Source organism: Homo sapiens, chromosome 5 (genome assembly GCF_000001405.40).
Source record: "Homo sapiens chromosome 5, GRCh38.p14 Primary Assembly".
NCBI lineage: Eukaryota > Metazoa > Chordata > Mammalia > Primates > Hominidae > Homo > Homo sapiens.
The window spans coordinates 70,427,054-70,446,921 of NC_000005.10; the positions used below are offsets into that span (position 1 = coordinate 70,427,054).

The 19,868-nt window shown below is 37.6% G+C and overlaps 1 pseudogene across 1 annotated transcript in view; it reads left to right on the forward strand.

Annotated features, from left to right (window-relative positions):
• Positions 1 to 19,868, forward strand: part of GTF2H2B (general transcription factor IIH subunit 2B (pseudogene)) — a 34,993-nt pseudogene that overhangs the window by 11,684 nt on the left and 3,441 nt on the right. Inside the window, exons 7-14 of the transcript NR_033417.1 lie at positions 532 to 637; positions 6,817 to 6,907; positions 7,126 to 7,213; positions 7,862 to 7,969; positions 10,478 to 10,541; positions 13,703 to 13,806; positions 14,363 to 14,465; positions 18,430 to 18,469. The product of NR_033417.1 is annotated as a general transcription factor IIH subunit 2B (pseudogene) (transcript). The remainder of the gene's footprint in view (positions 1 to 531; positions 638 to 6,816; positions 6,908 to 7,125; positions 7,214 to 7,861; positions 7,970 to 10,477; positions 10,542 to 13,702; positions 13,807 to 14,362; positions 14,466 to 18,429; positions 18,470 to 19,868) is intronic.

A 19,868-nucleotide genomic window follows, 5' to 3' on the forward strand; every position in this document is an offset into this window, starting at 1 on the left:
GCCTGCCGTGGTCTCCCAGAGTGCTGGGATTACAGGCGTGAGCCACCGCGCCTGGCCTTAAAAACATTTTAAATGGCAGTTAAACTCACCATGAAGAGGACAATGTACATAATGCAATTGAAGCAACAACATATGAAGACCTATTTGTAGGTTCACATATGAACAGGCAAAGACTATGTTACAAGTGCTGCTGGCTACCAGTGATTATTAAACACATGCTGATTTCAGAGATGTTAAATGTGAAAATGTATTGGTCTTAAAAATGATGAAATATGGAAATATTAAGAGTAAAAAAATGCACTCTAGGTTAGCATTATTTTAAAATATGTATGCTAGTCTATAAGGAGATTATTTGTATTCTGTTTTTCAGTATGAAGTGAGAGTGTTTACAAAATATTGCAGATAAAATTCCAACAGAAATATACATTGAAAGGATTCTGTTCTTTAACATCATAGATATGTAAATTTTGAGAGAAACATAAACTTTTTTAATATATAGGATTTTATTTAAAGATCTTATTTCTATTTTAGGAAACCCAAGAAAACATATAACGTCTTTGAAGAAAGCTGTGGATATGACCTGCCATGGAGAGCCATCTCTTTATAATTCCCTAAGCATGGCTATGCAGACTCTAAAGTTAGTATTATACATTATGTATAATTGAATTAGAAGTTTTTTAAATGAGTTAAGTTGAAGTGATGTGTTAATATGGGGCCCATAAACCCAGCTATAACAAAATTGTTAAGTACGAGAATTATGTAGTGTTATTTATGATGTTTAGTGTGGTGTTGGTTAGTAATTTTTATTTTACATTTTAGTAAGATATTGTTAAAGGTTTTATAAAAATATAATTTAAAACTGTCGGCAGTATCAATAGTACAAAAATAGGTTGATGAAAAAATATTTTATTAAAATGAGATTTAATATAGTATAATAATTGTAAGTTGGTTGTACCTTTATTAACATTTATTAATTTATTTTGAAAGTAATGGCCAAAACCACAATTCCTTTTGCACCAATGTCATATATCTGTAAATTAATAGATATGGCAAGTTCAGCTATATGGAATAGAGCTAAGACCCCAAAGGAAATACTTGGTATAGTTAAAGCTTATATATATATATAAGCTTTATATACATATTATATATATAATTTATTATACATATATATATAAAGCTTATATATATGTTAAACTTACATATATAAGTTAAAGCTTATATGTCTATTATACACACACACACACACACACACACACACACACACACACACACACACATATATATTTTTTCGAGACAGAGTCTTGCTCTGTCACCCAGGCTGGCATGCAGTGGCGTGATCTCAGCTCACTACAACCTCCACCTCTGGGTTCAAGTGATTCTTGTGCCTCAGCCTCCCTAGTGCTGGGATTACAGGTGTGTGCCACCATGCCCAGCCAATTTTTGTATTTTTAGTACAGATGGGGTTTCATCATGTTAGCCAGGCTGGTCTTGAACTCCTGGCCTCAAGCGATCCGCCCACCTCAGCCTCCCTAAAGCTTATATATTTTATCTCTGGATAGTCTGCCCTGGCTCAGACTTATACCTTTATATAATAGATATTTTTCTAGTTTTGAAGTGGATGAGAAGGAGGCAACACATGTAATAGAGGTAAGTACAGTAGTAGGGTCTACCAGTGAGAGCTGAGACGATAACAATGAAAATATAAGCAGGAAAGCTATAACTAATTGATAAAATTGCTGCAGAAAGCATAAAAACGTCTATTTAGTGTAGGTGAAAACTGGTCACCACAACTTAAAACTCTACAAGCTATCATTTTAATTAAATGGTATGCAATATTAATGTTCATGATTATTATGACTCTGAATTACTGTGAGGTTAAATTATAGTAATCCCCCCTTATCTGCAGTTTCACTTTCCAGTTTTAGTTACTCTTGGTCTGAAAATATTAAATTGAAAACTTCAGTAATAAATAATTCATAAGATTTAAGTTGTGTGCCATTCTGGGTAGCGTGATGAGATCCTACACCTTCCCTCTCTGTCCTGCCCAGGACGTGAATCATCCCTTGGTCCTGTAGATCCTCACAGTATATGCTGCCCACCCATGTAATGGCCTAAGTCATCAGATTAACTGTTGTTATTGACTGTCAAAACTATTGCAGTGTTTGTGTTATTTTACTTAATAATGACCTCAAAGTGCAGGAGTAGTGATGCCGGCACGTTGTTATAAATGTTCCATTATTAGTTATTGTTGTTAATCTCTTATTGTGCCTAATTTATACATTATTGATCATAGGTGTGTATGTAAGGCACACCTCATTTTGTTGCACTTTTATTGCACTTTTCAGATAACTTTTTTTTTTACAAACTGACAGTTTATGGCAACTCTGTTGAGCAAGTCTGTTGGTGCCATTTTTTTTTTAACAGCATGTGCTCACTTCTTGCCTCTATATCACACTTTGGTAGTTCTTGCAATATTTCAAGCTTTGTAAATTATTGTTATATCTGTTATGGTGATCTGTGATCAGTGATCTTTGATGTTACTATTGTAATTATTTTAGGGCACCACAAACTGCGCCCATATAAGACAACAGACTTAATTGATAAGTGTTACGTGTGTTCTGACTGCTCCACCAACTGGCTGTTTTCCAGTCTCTCTCCCTCTGTTCGGCCCCCCCATCTCCTAAGACACAAAAATATTCAAGTTACACCAATAATAACCCTCCAGTGGCCTCTGAGTGTTCAAGAGTAAGGAGGAGTCGCATGTCTCACTTTAAATCAAAAGCTAGAAATGATTGAGCTTAGTGAGGAAGGCATGTCAAAATGCAAGACTGGCTGAAGGCTAGGTCTCTTGTGCTAAACACTTAGTCACATTGTGAATGCAAAGGTAAAGTTCTTGAAGGAAATTGAAAGTGCTGGGCTGTGCGTGGTGGCTCTTACCTGTAACTGCAACACTTTGGGAGGCTAAGATGGGAGGATCACCTGAGGCCATGAGTTTGAGACCAGTCCTGGTAACATAGCAAGACCTCCATCTCTACAAAAAAAAAAAAAAAAAAAAAAAATTAGCCAGGCACAGTGGCGAGCACCTGTATGTAGTCCCTAACTTCTCAGGAGGCTGAGGCAGGAGGATTGAGCCCAGTAGTTTGAGGCTGCAGTGAGCTACGATTGTGCTACTGTACTCCAGCTTGTATGATAGAGCAAGATCCTGTCTCAAAATAAGAAAAAAATAATGGAAATTCAAAGTGCTGCTTCAGTGGACACATGAATGATAAGAAAGTGAAACAGCTTTATTGCTGATACAGACAAAGTTTTAATGGTCTAGATAGAAGATTAAAGTAGCCACAACAGTCCATTAAGTCAAATCCTAATCCAAAGCAAGGCTCTAATTCTCTTCAATTCTATGAAGGCTGAGAGCAGTGAGGAAGCTGCAGAAGAAAAGTTTGAAGCTAACAGAGCTGAGCTCATGAGGTTAATGAAAGAAGCCATCTCCAAAACATAAAAGTGTAAGAGGGGCTGGGCGCGGTGGCTCACGCCTGTCATCCCAGCACTTTGGGAGGCCAAGGTGGGCAGATCATGAGGTCAGGAGTTCAAGACCAGTCTGGCCAACATAGTGAAACCCTGTCTCTACTAAAAATACAAAAAATTAGCCAGGTGTGGTGGTGTGCGCCTATAATCCCAGCTACTCGGGAGGCTGAGGCAGGAGAATCGCATGAACCCAGGAGGCAGAGGTTGCAGTGAGCCGAGATCGCGCCATTGCACTTTAGCCCAGACGACACTGTGAGACTCCGTCTCAAAATAAAAAAAAAAAAAGTGCAAGAGGAAGCAGCAAGTGCTGATGTAGAAGCTGCAGCAAGTTATCCAGAAGATCTAGCTAAAATAATTGATGAAGGTGACTACACTAAATATCAAATTTTCTTTTTCTTTTTTGTTTTTGAGAGAGGGTCTCGCTCTGTCACCCAGGTTAGAGTGCAGTGGTGCAATCATGGATCACTGCAGCCTCAAACTCCCAGGCTCAAGCTATTCTCCCAGCCCCACAAGTAGCAGGGACTACAGGCATGTGCCACCACACCCAGCTAATTTTTGTTGTTGTTGTTGTTGTAGAGGTAGGGTTTCGCCACATTGCCCAGCTGGTCTTGAACTCCTGGGCTCAAGCAGTCCTCCGCCTCTGCCTCCCAAAGTGCTGGGATTACAAGCATGAGCCACTGCACCTGGCCTCATATTTTCAATGTAAATGAAACAGCCTTCTGTTGGAAGGAGATGCCATCTAGGATTTTCATAGCTAGAAGAAGTGAATGCCTGGTTTCAGAGCTTCATGGGATAGGCTTCTTCTCTTGTTAGGGGCTAATACAGCTGGTGACTTGATGTTGGCACCAATGTTTGTTACCATTCTGAAAATCCTAGAGTCCTTAAGAATTATTCTAAATCTATTCAGTCTGTGCTCTGCAAATGGAATAACAAAGCCCAGATAACAGCACATCTGTTTACAGCATGGGCTTACTGAATATTTTAAGCCCATTGTTGAGATATATCTCAGAAAAAAGATTTATTTCAAAATATTATTGCTCATTGACAATGCACCCAGTCACCCAAGAGCTCTAATTGAGATGTACAAGAAGATTAATGTTATTTTCATATCTACTAACATAGCACTCATTCTGCAACCCTTGGATAAAGGAATACTTTGAACTTTCACGTCTTGATTATTTAAGAAATACATATCATAAGGCTGTGACTGCCATAGATGGATCTGAGCAAAGTACATTGAAAACCTTCTGGAAAGAATTCACCATTCTAAATGCCATTCATAGAAAGAGGTCAAAATATCTACACTGGCTGGGCATGGTGGCTCATGCCTGTAATCCCAGCACATTGGGAGGCCGAGGCGGATGGATCACTTGAGGTCAGGAGTTCAAGACTAGTCTGGCCAACATGGTGAAACCCGTCCTCACTAAAAATACAAAAATTATCTGGGCATGGTGGTGCATGCCTGTAATCCCAGCTACTGGGGAGGCTAAGGCAGGAGAATTGCTTGAACCCAGGAGGCAGAGGTTGCAGTGAGCCGAGATCGCACCACTGCACTCCAGCCTGGGTGTCAGAGCAAGAATCAGTCTCAAAACAAAAAAAGAATAGCCCATAAACTTAGTTGGTAAAGCATCAGTGGGGTTTCAAAGGAATGACTCCCATTTTGAAAGAGGTACTACTATGAATAAAATGCTACCAAACAGCATTTGCATTCCTTTCATGAAAGGAAGAGTTGACCCATGTAACAAACTACTTTGTCTTATTTTAAGAAATTGCCATAGCCACCTCACCCTTCAGAAAGCACCACTCTGATCAGTCAGCAGCCATCAATATCAAGGCAAGACTCTCCTTCAACAAAAAGATATTATTCACTGACAGTTCAGTCGATTTTTAGCAATAAAGTATTTTTCATAAAGGTGTGTACTTTTTTTTTTTAGATATAATGCTGTTGCACACTTACTAGACTACAGTATAGTGTAAACAGAACTTTTCTTTTTCTTTCTTTTTTTTTTTTTTGAGACGGAGTCTCGCTCTGTCGCCCAGGCTGGAGTGCAGTGGCGCAATCTTGGCTCACTGTAAGCTCCGCCTCCTGGGTTCACACCATTCTCCTGCCACCACGTCCGGCTCATTTTTTTGTATTTTTAGTAGAGACGGGGTTTCACCGTGTTAGCCAGGATGGTCTCGATCTCCTGACCTCGTGATGTGCCCGCTTCAGCCTCCCAAAGTGCTGGGAATACAGGCGTGAGTCACCATCCCTGGCCGTAAACAGAACTTTTATATACACTAGGAAACCTGAAAGTTCATGTGACTTGCTTTATTGCAAATATTTATTGTGATATTTGCTTTATTGCTGCGGTCTGGAATCCAACCCTGCAGTATCTCCAAGGTATGCCTGTATAGGGAAAAACATGGTATAATCAGCCCTCTGAATCCTGGGTTCTGCTTCTGTGAATTCGATCAACCACGCATCAAAAATTTTTGGAAAAAAATTGTACCTGTACTGAACAAATAGACATTTTTTCTTGCCATTATCCCCTAAATAATAGAGGATAACAATTACTTACATAGTATACATTGTATTAGGTATTATCAATAATCTAGAGATGACTTAAAATATATGGGAGGATGTACATAGGTTATATGCAAATACTACGCCCTTTTGTATCTGGGACTTGAACATCTGCAGATTTTGGTATCCATAGGAGGGCCTGAAATCAATCCCCCAAGGATACCGAAGAACGACTGTATATATAGGGTTCAGTACTATCCTTGATTTCAGGTATCCACTGGGGGTCTTGGAATGTATCCTCTGCAGATAAGAGGGGACTACTATAGTCTTTGAGAAAGAAGTGTGTGTTACTGTTTTGAAGCCACATCTCTGCACTTTAAAGCTGATCCATATGATATTGCCACATTTTAGTTTAAAGTTTATCCATATATTGTTGTATTTTTTATTGTATACTCTAGACTTTGTATGAAACAAACCTACTAGAATGTAAGCTTAATGATGTCGGGAACATTGTCAGTCTTGTTTATCACTCTACCCCCAGAACTTGAGAGTACTTGGTAAATATTAAATGAATCAATTAACAATTTTTTGAAGTGCATAGCTCATTTTAGAAAAATTTGCATTAAAGTGTTTAAAATATACTCACAACCTTTCTTTGCATTGTTGAAACAAATGAGATATTCTATAGTCTAAATGTGTAATCCTATGTTTACTGTTCTTTCTGGGTAAATTTTTTGGTAGTATAATTTGTTGTACCTAATTGGAGTGTATTTTATCTTTCTTTTAAGACACATGCCTGGACATACAAGTCGAGAAGTACTAATCATCTTTAGCAGCCTTACAACTTGCGATCCATCTAATATTTATGATCTAATCAAGGTAGACCAAAAAATCAAAACCAAAGTTATAACTGTAAAGAGAATTCTGTAGCAAATTGATTTATATATATATGTATTTTTGTATGTGTGATTCATCTTTGTGGTAGATGTATTGAATTTATTACTAGTTTTCAGAGCATTCTTTATTTTTCAAATACATTAAATCTTAAATGTTTTTCTTCTTTCCTAAAACTATCTATCTACTTGGATTTTATGAAGACCCTAAAGGCAGCTAAAATTAGAGTATCTGTTACTGGATTGTCTGCAGAAGTTCGCGTTTGCACTGTACTTGCTCGTGAAACTGGTGGTATATATATAATTTATTTAATATTTGCTTATAATTACTGTGTAGGAAATAATTTATTAATTAAATTAGGATGTTTTAATCTGTTCTGAGCTACTAAACTTAAAGTAGTCTAAAATATGGGCAGTCATCTTAAATATATCATTGATTCCATAAGAAATCATCTCCAAATGCAAAGAGTTTTCAGTACTTATGTCAGTATTTAGAGGAGGTATTATAACTCTTGGAAAGCTGGAAATTTTACTGTATGTAATTCTTTATAAAGATTTTATAACTTGTCTTTAATTAAATTGTAATTACAGGCCAGGCATGATAGCTCATGCCTGTAATCTCAACATTTTGGTAGGCCAAGGCAGGAGAATCACTTGAGGCCAGAAGTTTGAGATCAGTCTGGTTAACATAGTGAGACCTGTCTCTATTTATATGTTAAAATAATAATAGTAGTAATAATAATCAATTGTAATTATAGTTATTCCTAGAGAAGTTGATTTAGATATATTACTTAAATAAGGTTTTAAAAGTGATAATTTAGCTAAAATCATTATTTTAAAAATGTACATTTTCAGATGATACAACTTTTACAGAATTACGTAGAACGTACAGTTCGTTATGTCTATGAAGGTGTTTTTTTTTCCCTTTTCATCTTGTTAGGCACGTACCATGTTATTTTAGATGAAAGCCATTACAAAGAGTTGCTCACACATCATGTTAGTCCTCCTCCTGCTAGCTCAAGTTCTGAATGCTCACTTATTCGTATGGGTAAGTGTTTTTATGTTTTTAAAAAATACATATCTAGGCTCTCTATTTTCATTTGCACAAGTTATTTTAATATTTAAGAATTTTTAAAGAAAAAATATGCTTGTTGAAGCAATTTTGGAAAGTACAGAGAAGTGGAAAAAAAAAATTAAAACTACCAGTAGTCCTGTCACCCAGAAAATACTGTTGGCTTTCTTTATTTTTAAGGCTAGAAAGGTATAAACTGTGTTTATAGAAAAATACTTATATTAAGCCGGGCTCGGTGGCTCACGCCTGTAATCCCAGCACTTTGGGAGGCCGAGGTGGGCGGATCTTGAGGTCAGGAGATCGAGACCATCCTGGCTAACACGGTGAAACCCCATCTCTACTAAAAATACAAAAAATTAGCCAGGCGTGGTGGCGGGCGCCTGTAATCCCAGCTCCTCGGGAGGCTGAGGCAGGAGAATGGCATGAACCCGGGAGGCAGAGCTGGCAATGAGCCGAGATCACACCACTGCACTCTAGCCTGGGCGACAGAGCGAGACTCTGTCTCAAAAAAGAAAACAAAAGAAAAACACTTATATTAAAAATTTTTTAAAATAAGCTACAAAGGCCGGGCGTGGTGGCTCATGCCTGTAATCCTAGCATTTTGGGAGGCCGAGGCTAGCGGATCACCTGAGGTCAGGAGTTTGAGACCACCCTAGCCAACATGGCGAAACCCTGTCTCTACTAAAAATTACCAAAAAATGGCTGGGCATGGTGGCAGACATCTGTAATCCCAGCTACTCAGGAGGTTGAGACAGGAGAATTGCCTGAACTCAGGAAGCGGAGGTTGCCATGAGCTGAGATTGCGCCACTGCACTCCAGTCTGGGTGACAGAGCAAGACTCTGTCTCAAAAAAATAAAATAAAATAAAAATAAAATAAGCTACAAAATTCTCTGTACTGGATGATCAAAGCTGTGTAATGCAAACTGTGCAAAGACAAAGCTTGCAGGGAAGTACACCAAATTGCTCAAAGGAGGGGAAATTATTGGTTTTGGATCACTTTTTTTTTTCTTTTTTTTTTTGAGATGGAGTCTCATTCTATTTCCTAGGCTGGAAGTGCAGTGGTGCGATCTCAGCTCACACTGCAACCTCCGCTTCCCAGGTTCAAGCAATTCTCCTGCCTCAGCCTCCCGAGTAGCTGGGATTACAGGCGGGCACCACCATGCCCAGCTAATTTTTGTATTTTTAGTAGAGACGGGGTTTCACCATGTTGGCCAGGCTTGTCTTGAACTTCTGACCTCATGATCCGCCCGCCTCGGCCTCCCAGAGTGCTGGGATTACAGGCTTGAGCCACTGTGCCCGGCCTTGGATCACTTTTTTAAAATGTTATTTTCTTCTATTTTACAAAAATGTTAAATGTTACAATGAAAATTTATTACATTTATATTGAAAAAAGTATAACTTTTAATAGAAAAATAATCTCCTTATTTAATATGTATGTTTTTAAATGTTAATGAAATAAAATGCTTTTCTACTTTTGGCCTTTTATATTACCAGTCGACCTCTCTTTTCCACGGTCTTCTCATGTGTTTAATGATGTCAGTAACTATCAACCTTATTGTGTGTTTCAAGGATTGAGTTAATACAGATGATGCGTTTAGAATAATGCTTGATGTAAACATTCAATACATTTTAGATCTTATGTTTGGCTAATCTTTTTGATTTACTGATATATTTTCTTATTTCATTTTAAAGTTATTTAAATTTATAATTTATTTATTAGAGTCCTTTAGGAATGTTAACCCTTCTCAGTCACCCGATGCAAATATTTTTCTTGTTGGTTATTTGCCTTTACTTTTATTTATTTGTTTTGATATGTAGATACATTTACATTTTTTATGTAATATATCTTTTTAAAAATGGTTTCTGCTTTTCCTGAACATGTTTTCAGAATTTAAAATTGTATATGGAAAACAAATTACATGAAAGATTTGAGCATTTCAAAATTTTAAACATAAAAGCATAAACGTAGATAAAATGAAGGTGTACTATGATATCTTCAGTTTTATCAGAAATGATGTAAAAATTACAACCTCTTTAAAAAGTAGTGTTAATCATTAAGTTAGAAAATATATAGCTGGGCATGGTGGCAGATGCCTGTAATCCCAGCTACATGGGAAGGTGAGGTGGGAGAATCGCTTGAACCCAGGCAGTGGAGGATGCAGTGAGCCAAGATCATGCCACTGCACCCCAGCCTGGGTGACAGAACAAGACTCCATCTCAAGAAAAAAAAAAAAGAAAAATATATATATGAACTTCAGAATCTGAGGTCATATATAGACAGGTCTTTCCCCCGTTTCCTCTACTTTTTCTTGTAGCTTGGAATTAGTCAGTTTCATCATGCTATAATAAGCTTATCTGAAAGGCAGTAAAGTGATATTTTGTACAACTTCATTGGCTTTTTGAGAAGAACATTTTTAGGTTCTTAGTCCTAGAATTTTGCTGTTTGCTTGGAAAAAGAAAGTAATACATTTTCTTCTATGAAGGATTTCCTCAGCACACCATTGCTTCTTTATCTGACCAGGATGCAAAACCCTCTTTCAGCATGGCGTAAGTAAAGACCTTGAAAATATCAGTGATAATGTTTTTACATTTTTAATTCCTTCTTTTAAGTTATAAATTCAAAAGATAGGCAATGAAGACTATCTCTATATACTTGTATGGAGTGATCTTCAGGATAAATTACTAAGTAAAACAGTAGTTTGAGAGAATTTTGTAGTATGCTGCTAATCACCTAAGAAGAAAGTAGAGATGTAAGTGGATGTATATACTTGTTTATGTTAATAATAAAAACAATAGTATGGAAATAATAAAAACTTAAAAGGGGTGGAGGGGGAAATTTTTTTTTTTAATGTTTACCTCAGTGAGTGTGTAGGGAAAAGCAAAGGGTTAGACCCTAGACTTTTCTGAATGCATCACTTAATGATAGGGATACATTCCGAGAAATGCGTCATTAGGTGATACCATCATTGTGCAAACATCACAGAGTGCACTTACACAAACCTAGATAGTGTAGCCTACTAACATCGCAGTTATATAGTATAGCCTATTGCTCCTAGGCTGCACACCTGTACAGCATATTGTGTACTGAATAATGTAGGCAGTTGTAATGTAACACCTAGTGTTTGTTTAACTAAACACAGAAAAGGTACAACTAAAATGTATTATTTTATGGGACCACTGTCATATATGTGGTTCATCACTGACCAAAATGTTATATAGAATATTACTGTACCTTGTTTTAACTTCAGAGCTTTGTATTTTACATAATTATAAAACAAAATTAAATTTAAGAGAGTAATTCTTAAAAATCACAAACAAGATTTCTGCCTCCAGCCAAAAAGCTGTAACAGGGACTAGATTTACCCTCCTGTCAAAAAAAGCAGACAAAATATATAAAACAGTGGTTTTCAGACGTTGGACAGCAAGCCTTGCTGATAATGATCCCTGAAAGAAAGGAAACAAATGAGATGGGCCCTAAGAGCACTCCACCTTACTGCCTGGATGGAATTTCCAGGCTGCACACAGAGGCTGGAGATGTTGTTGAGTTGAAGAAACAAAGTTCATCTTTCAAGGAGGCTGAGATGGCGATAATTTTGCAGGTCAGAGTACTGGAGAGGAAAGATCTGCACAGAGAGAACTCTCTGGGGAGCTGCATAGACTTGCTCATGAGTCAGCAGCTGAGCGTTGATCAGCCCTTTTGTGTGAGGAGACTACTGGAAGTCAGGGAAAAAATCACTGGAAAGCAGCAGACAGAACAGTTTCCAGAGCTCACACAGAGAACATTCATGTTCTCACCAGTCTGTATGGAAATACCTCTTAACATGACAGGCATTGAATAGAGTCCACAGTAATGGGATCAAATTAATTCTATCACAAGAACTGGAACCAGAGGCAAAAAGAAAAGAAAAGAAAAGAAAAATCTAGACTAACAGCTGTTCTAGACCAGCCTACCAAAGTTTAAAAGCAAATTTTGAAGAGATTAAACTATTTCCAAGTTAATGAAGTATATTTCAGAACAAACCCTTAAATATTTGAGGGAATACAAAAAAAAAAAAAAAAGAAAAAATCCAGCCCCCAAAACAAAGCAAAATTCACAATGTCTGGCAAAGCAAAATTCATAGTCCCTGGCAGAAATTACCAGGGATGCAAAGGAAAATATGACCCATAAAATGGAGAAAAATCACAGAATGGAAACATACCCAGAAATAACCCAGTTGGTAGAATTAATAGACAAAGGGTTGGGTGCGGTAGCTCCTGCCTGTAATGCTAGCACTTTGGGAGGCTCAGGTGGGCAGATCACTTGAGCCCAGGAGTTCGAGATCAGCACAGCCAACATGGCGAAACCCATCTCTACTAAAAACACAAAAATTAGCCAGGCCTGGTGGCACACGCCTGTAATCCCAGCTACTTGGGAGGCTGAGGTACAAGAATGACTTGAACCCAGGAGGTAAAGGTTGCAGCGAGCTGAGATCGTGCCATTTCACTACAGCCTGGGTGACAGAGCGAGACTCTTATCAAAAAAGAAAAAAAAGAATTAGTAGACAAAGATGTTAGGACAACAATTATAAATGTACTCTGTATGTTCAGGATGTTAGAGAACATGAGAATGGTAAGAAGAGATATGGAAGGTATAAAAAAGACCCAAATCAAACTTCTAGTGATGAAGAATACAGTGTTTTAGATGAAAAATATATTGGCTGGGATTAACAGCAGATTAGACACTGCAGAAGAAAAAATTAGTGAATTCAAAGATAGTAATAGAGACTTTAAAAATGAAGAGAAGGGCTGGGTGTAGTGGCTCACATCTGTAATCCCAGCACTTTGGGAGGCCAAGGCAGGCAGATCACTTGAGACCAGGAGTTTGAGACCAGCCTGGCCAACATGATGAAACCCCATCTCTACTAAAAATACAAAAATTAGCTGGGTGTGGTAGCACGTGCCTGTAATCCCAGCTACTCAGGAAGCCAAGGCACGAGAATTGCTTGAACCTGGGAGGCGGAGATTGTAGTGAGTTGAGATTGTGCCACTGCACTCCAGCTTGGGCAACAGAGTGAGAAGCCGTCTCAAAAAAAAAAAAAAAAATGAAGAGGGGGAAAAAAATGAATGTAGCATAATTTAGTTATAAGACATACTCACAGATTTTAAAATAGACTTTTAGACCAGGCATGGTGGCTCACACCTATAATCCCAGCACTTTGGGAAGCTAAGGCAGGTGGATCACTTGAGGCTAGGAATTCAAGACCAGCAATATAGTGAGAGACCCCCATCTCTATATAAGTTATAAATTTTTTTTTAAATATAGACTTCTTTTGTTTTTTTTTTGAGATGGAGTTTCACTCTTGGCACCCGGGCTGGAGTGCAGTGGTGCAATCTCAGCTCACTGCAACCTCTGCCTCCTGGGTTCAAGCAATTCTACTTCAGCCTCCCAAGTAGCTGGGATTACAGGCGCCTGGCTAATTTTTGTATTTTTTAGTAGAGATGGGGCTTCACCGTGTTGGCCAGGCTGGTCTTGAACTCCTGACCTCAGGTGATCCACCCGCCTTGGCCTCCCAAAGTGCTGGGATTACAGGTGTGAGCCTCTGCGCCCGGCCAAAAATACAGACTTTTAAATAGATTTTTAAATAGTGTCAAGATTTTAAGGTCAAGATAGCATGCTTTCCCGCTCTAACTTTTCAGATCATTATATATTACCCTTTTTCCCCCTACAGGCATTTGGATGGCAATACTGAGCCAGGGCTTACATTAGGAGGCTATTTCTGCCCACAGTGTCGGGCAAAGTACTGTGAGCTACCTGTTGAATGTAAAATCTGTGGTAAGAAAACAACTATTCATTATTCAGTAAATCTTGAATGACTTCTTAATCTGTATTGCTGCTAAAATTAATGTAAATGTTAAGTTATTCCTATGTTTCTGGATTTAATCTGTGCAAAGAAAAATAGATTACTTTTTAAATTGAGTGCCCAGTACTCCACTTCCATGTATAAATGTAGCATTCTAGTTTCCTGATCCTCTTTCTGAAAAAAGTATATTCTTTAAAGGCAGTGCAGTAGATGTAGTAGACATTTTTCCATCTCTTACCTTTATAAAGTAAATATATATAAGAATGAAGAATTAAACTAATAGAATTGTCGAATTTTATTTCATTTATAATATAAGTAAGCAAATAGACCGAGACAGGTTGGTTACACACTTAGTGACAGAACTAAGACTCCATCCTACAATCTTCTGTTATAGCCACAGGTAAAATTAATAACTGCCATCCTAAAAGAAACTGAACATATTCTGCTGAAGTTACATCTTTTGGCTTTTCAGCCGTTGTCTTCATGAGGTTTGGACTACTCAACATGTCTCTCTGCTTAATGTGTTAGGTCTTACTTTGGTGTCTGCTCCCCACTTGGCACGGTCTTACCATCATTTGTTTCCTTTGGATGCTTTTCAAGAAATTCCCCTAGAAGAATATAATGGAGAAAGGTATTTCAGTTTGGACTAATTTATATCTGTTATAAGTGGTAAGCTAATGTTTGAATAGATTGTTACTACCTTAAAAAATAATCTGATTAACTTGGACAAGAGTACTTCTAATATGGAAGATGAGATAAAGAATGCCATAGTTATGATTGAAATGACTCGTTGCTAAATAGATCTGAATCTCCAGAAACCAAATAATTTCACTAAACCCACCTATGTATAAATAGGGGTGATGATTGTACTACTAAATCAGTTTTCCAGAAGGAAAAGAAAAAAAGCCCTGATTGGTAGTATTTGCTGATTTCCATGGTTTGAATACTCCCACCATGGCCAATTTTTAGCTACAATTAACAACCAGCTTTCTTGAATACATATTTAACAATATATCCTTTTGATCCAGTACAATCCAGTCCTAGCACACTACTGAAAATAAGAGGCTCATTCAGCACTTTGGGAGGCTGAGGTGGGAGGATCACTTGAGGCCAGGAGTTGAAGACTAGCTGGGGCAACATAGTGAGACACTGTCTCTTAAAAAAGAAAAAAAAAGCTGGACATGGTGGCTCATACCTGTAATCCCAGCACTTTTGGAGGCCAAGGCAGGCAGATCACCTGAGGTCAGGAGTTCAACACCAGCCTGAATGACATGGAGAAACCCCATCTCTACTAAAAATACAAAATTAGCCTAGTGTGGTGGTGCATACCTGTAATCCCAGCTACTCGGGAGGCTGAGGCAGGAGAATCGCTTGAACTCGAGAGGCAGAGGTTGCGGTGAGCCAAGATCGCACCACTGCACTCCAGCCTGGGTAACAAGAGCGAAACTTCGTCTCAAAAAAAAAAAATCTGGCATAACATAATTTATCTAAAATCTTTAAGTATTTTTACGAATGCTATTTGTGTGAAATACAACAAATAAAGTCTGAAATAGAGGTAGTCAATCCTTTATAGAATAGTTTTCAGAAAATAAAGATTTACTACTTTTAAGAACATCTAGGATCGGCTGGCACGGTGGCTCACGCCTGTAATCCCAGCACTTTGGGAGACCGAGGCAGGTGGGTCACCTGAGGTCAGCAGTTCGAGACCAGCCTGGTCAACATGGTGAAACACCATCTCTACTAACAATATAAAAATTAGCCGGGTGTGGTGGGAGGTGCCTGTAATCCCCAGCTACTCAGGAGGCTGAGGCAGGAGAATCCCTTGAACCTGGGAGGTGGAGGTTGCAGTGAGCCAAGATCACACCATTGCACTCCAGCTGGGCGACAAGAGCGAAACTCCATCAAAAAAAAAAAGAACATCCAGGATTTAGGAGTCACATTAAACACTTACTGGCTAGCCGAAAACAATTATGTATCCATCTTGCTTTTCACACTTAAATCATTTAGAAGTCATTCAGTATCACCATATCTAGATCAATGTTGTTTTTGAAATTGTTGCATATTTCAGGTATAATTATGGTTTATATAATCAATTGCTTCCTGTTGGATATTTAAGATTTTTTTTTTTTGCTATTAACAAATAATGCTTATATCTATATTTTTGAACATTTGTACAAGTATAAATGCATGGTAAATTCCTAGAGGTAAAATTACTGAGTCAAGAGTTTTACATGTTTTGTGAATTTTGATAGATATTGTAAAGTTGTTCTTCAAAGAACTTTCATTTATTGTTTTCGCACATTTAGCCAACATTAGGTATTATGAAACTTTTTTATATTGGCCAAAACTCACAGGCAAAAGAAAAAGAAAAAAGTCTCATTGTTTTAGCTTGGTATTTATTTGCTTATGGTTGAGGTTAAATATAGTAAAAATGAAAAACCCAGTACTATAGAAGATAGAGTTGAAGAAATATTCCAGAAAGTACAATAAAAGGAGTAAAATAAAGAGGTTCAAATAGGAGAGTAAAGATAAGAATACTGGTGGAATTATCCAGAAGGTCCAATGAGAATGATACGAGAAAAAAAGAAAAAAAGTAGGATAGAAAATCATCAAAGACATAGTTCAAAGAAATTTTATATTGAAGGACAGAACTTTCTAGATTGAAAGGGCCTGTTGGCTGGGAAGGGTGGCTCATAGCTCTAATCCTTGCACTTTGGGAGGCTGAGACTGGGGGATCACTTGAGGCCAGGAGTTCCAGGCCAGCCTGGGTCACACAGCAAGACCTCATCTCTGCAACGAAGATAAAAGAAAGGGACTGCCAAGTGCCTAACGTATTGAAGGAAGGCAGACCCCATAATTGTGAAATTTCAGAATACACAATAAACCATTAACCCTAAACATTTCCAGAGAGGAAAAACTAGGTCACACACAAAGGATCTGGAATTAAAATTGTTTGGCTTCTCATTAGCAACACCGGATGCAGAGAGGGAGCAGTCACCTTCAAAGTTTGTGGTGAAAATTGTTACCAACTTAGATACCCAGCCAAACTGTCAGTTAAGTGTAGGTAGAATAAAGACATTTTCAGACTTGTAAGGTCTCAAAAAGAGATTTTTCTGGGGAAGGTCTGGAAGAGGTAGGTGATTCAAAGGAACTGAGAAGGAGAATGACATGGGATCTAGTAATATGTATCTAATTCAAAACAGGCTGAAGAACGGCCTAGGATGATGGTAAGGAGAAATTCCAGAATGATACCTGTGTGTCACATATGGGGAACCGTCCAGTTTGGAGACAGTCAGGATGCTCCAGGAGAGAGATCACCAAGGGGATGAAAACTGCAGAACTCCTGATGTATTTGAACATATCGAGAGGACAGTTAGACTATTCCGGAGAAGATTGGGCCTGAATTAGTGTCAATTATATAGGAAACTAACCTTGGGAATAGCAACACAGTATTTCCAGGAAAAAAAAAAATGTTTTAAATAGGGGAAAACTTATGGCTTAGCTGAGAATATTTTTATAGGCATAGTAAACTAAACATTGATTATTGTTCTATCCAAAAGGAAGACTTCACTATGTAGAAAGAATTGAGAATGACACTAGTTAAATATTTATGCATTACTGGGTTCAAGATGATTGAAAGATAATTAAATTCTCTTCTTTCATAGTTGGAGATTTATAGCCAATAACTGTGAAGAATCACAAAGTAGCACTTATTAGAATAAGTGACTATCAAACAAACGTTAGAAAGTGCTTCTGGCTGGGCATGGTGGCTCATGCCTGTAATCCTAACACTTTGGGAAGCCAAGATAGGAGGATTGCTTGAGCCCAGGCATTCGAGACCAGCCTGGGCAATATAGCGAGACCCTGCCTCAATAAAAAATTAGCCAGGCATGGAGATACATGCCTGTAGTCCCAGCTACTCAGGAGGCTGAGGCAGGAGGATCACTTGAGCCCAGGAGGTTGAGGCTGCAGTGAGCTGTGATAGCACCTCAGCACTCCAGCCTTTGAGACAAAGCAAGACCCTGACTCGAAAACAAAGAAAAATAAAGCATGCTCACAGTTAACCTTAATGAAAATAAAAACTAAATTTTGGGCTGTCAGATGACCTTGTATATACTGTGGAATTTTTTTTTAAATTATTGCTATTCTTTTTTTTTTTTTTTTTTTGTGAGTCAGAGTTTTGCTCCCGTTGCTCAGTGTGGAGTGCAATGACACCATCTCGGCTCACTGCAACCTCCGTGTCCTGGGTTCAAGCGATTCTCCTGCGTCAGCCTCCTGAGTAGCTGGGATTATAGGCGCCTGCCATCACGCCCAGCTAATTTTTGTATTTTTAGTAGAGACGGGGTTTCGCCATGTTGGCCAGGCTGGTCACGAACTCCTGACCTGAGGTGATCCACCTGCCTCGGCCTCCCAAAGTGCTGGGATTATAGGCGTGAGCCACTGTGCCTGGCCTATTGGTATTCTTAACTCTTTTTCCTGAAAGTCATGTGTAAAGACAAGTACATATTAATTAAAGGATTCTAGTTAGTGAGATTTTGTTGAACTATTTTAATGAGTAAATTCTAAGAAAAAACATTGTTAAACTTTTTTTTCAGATTTTGTTATGGATGTCAGGGGGAATTGAAAGACCAACATGTAAGTTCTTTGGCTTTCTAAATATTAAGTAATGTACAAGAAATATTGAAATCAATGGTACTATAAGTTTTCAACAGGTTGTTAAAGACCAGGCTCATATCAGTTTATTTCTTGTAAAGATAATGACAATAGGTGAAGGTAAAATAGGAACAAAATAGTTTAAATAGTAGTTTTGTTATTCTGCATTCTAATTTTTGCTATAAAGTATTTTGTAATTCATCTTTTTAAAACTTTTTATTAAAAATTTTTTAATTTTTTTCCTCTTTTTTTAAATTCTTTGATTGTTTTGTCTACTTTGGTACACCCTTGTAAAACATGTAATTTGTCTTTAGCTTTCAAGCTAAACTGCATTTAGTCTGAAAGTATTTAAAATATTTTCTTCATATTATACTTTAAGCTGTGTGATAACACATTGAAATTGTTTAAGGTGGCCACAGATAATAGGTGATTCTTCCATTATGCCAATGAGAAAATACTTTTTTAAATTTTGAAGAGGGCCAACTTTAATAAATAAATTTGTATAGATGTAAATAATATGGATCACTGTCTAGCTTTAATTTTTAATTTAGTTACATGTTCATATTTAAAACTATATATATTATATAAAATAATAATTAGAAGTATTGCTCTTCCACTGTCACAATTTATAAAGTAATTTTATTAAATTTTATATACCTCTTTGACATCAGTAGTTTACTCTTAACTGGAACCACTTTTTGAATCATTTGACAGTTTTTTGGTTTTATTTTCTGAGACAGACTCTTGCTCTGTCACCCAGGTTGTAGTGCAGTGATGCAATCTTGGCTCACTGCAACCTCTGCCTCCCAAGTTCAAGTGATTCTCATGCCTAGCCTCCCAAGCAGCTGGGATTATAGGCGTGCACCACCATGCCCAGCCAATTTTTGTATTTTTAGTAGAGACTGGGTTTCACCATGTTGACCAGCTGGTCTTGAACTCCTGGGCTCAAGCAATCCACCCGCCTTGGCCTCCCAAAGTGCTGGGATTACAGGCGTGAGTCACTACACCCGGCCTCATTTGAGTTTTTAAGAATAGGTCATTGTCTGTGTTGTTTGAAATTTATTTATTCATTCTTTCTTTTTTTTTTTATTCAAAGCCAAATACTTCTGAGATTTAGTGATTTTTGAATCTGTGTATGAAGCTGCCCTGGAAATTCTATCCCAAGGAGCAAGTACTCATATATGTAATGCTGAAAGAACAAATGTAGTTTTTTCCTTTCTGCTTGTCTTATCTGTGTCATTTGACATATTTTTTTAAAGGTTTACTTGAAAGGGAAATATGTTTGCAATTGTGAGGTCATTCCCTAAGAATAATTAAATCGATGTTAAATTTTTATGCTTCTCTTTTTAATTGAATCAATCAGGTGGTCTTGCTAAGCATT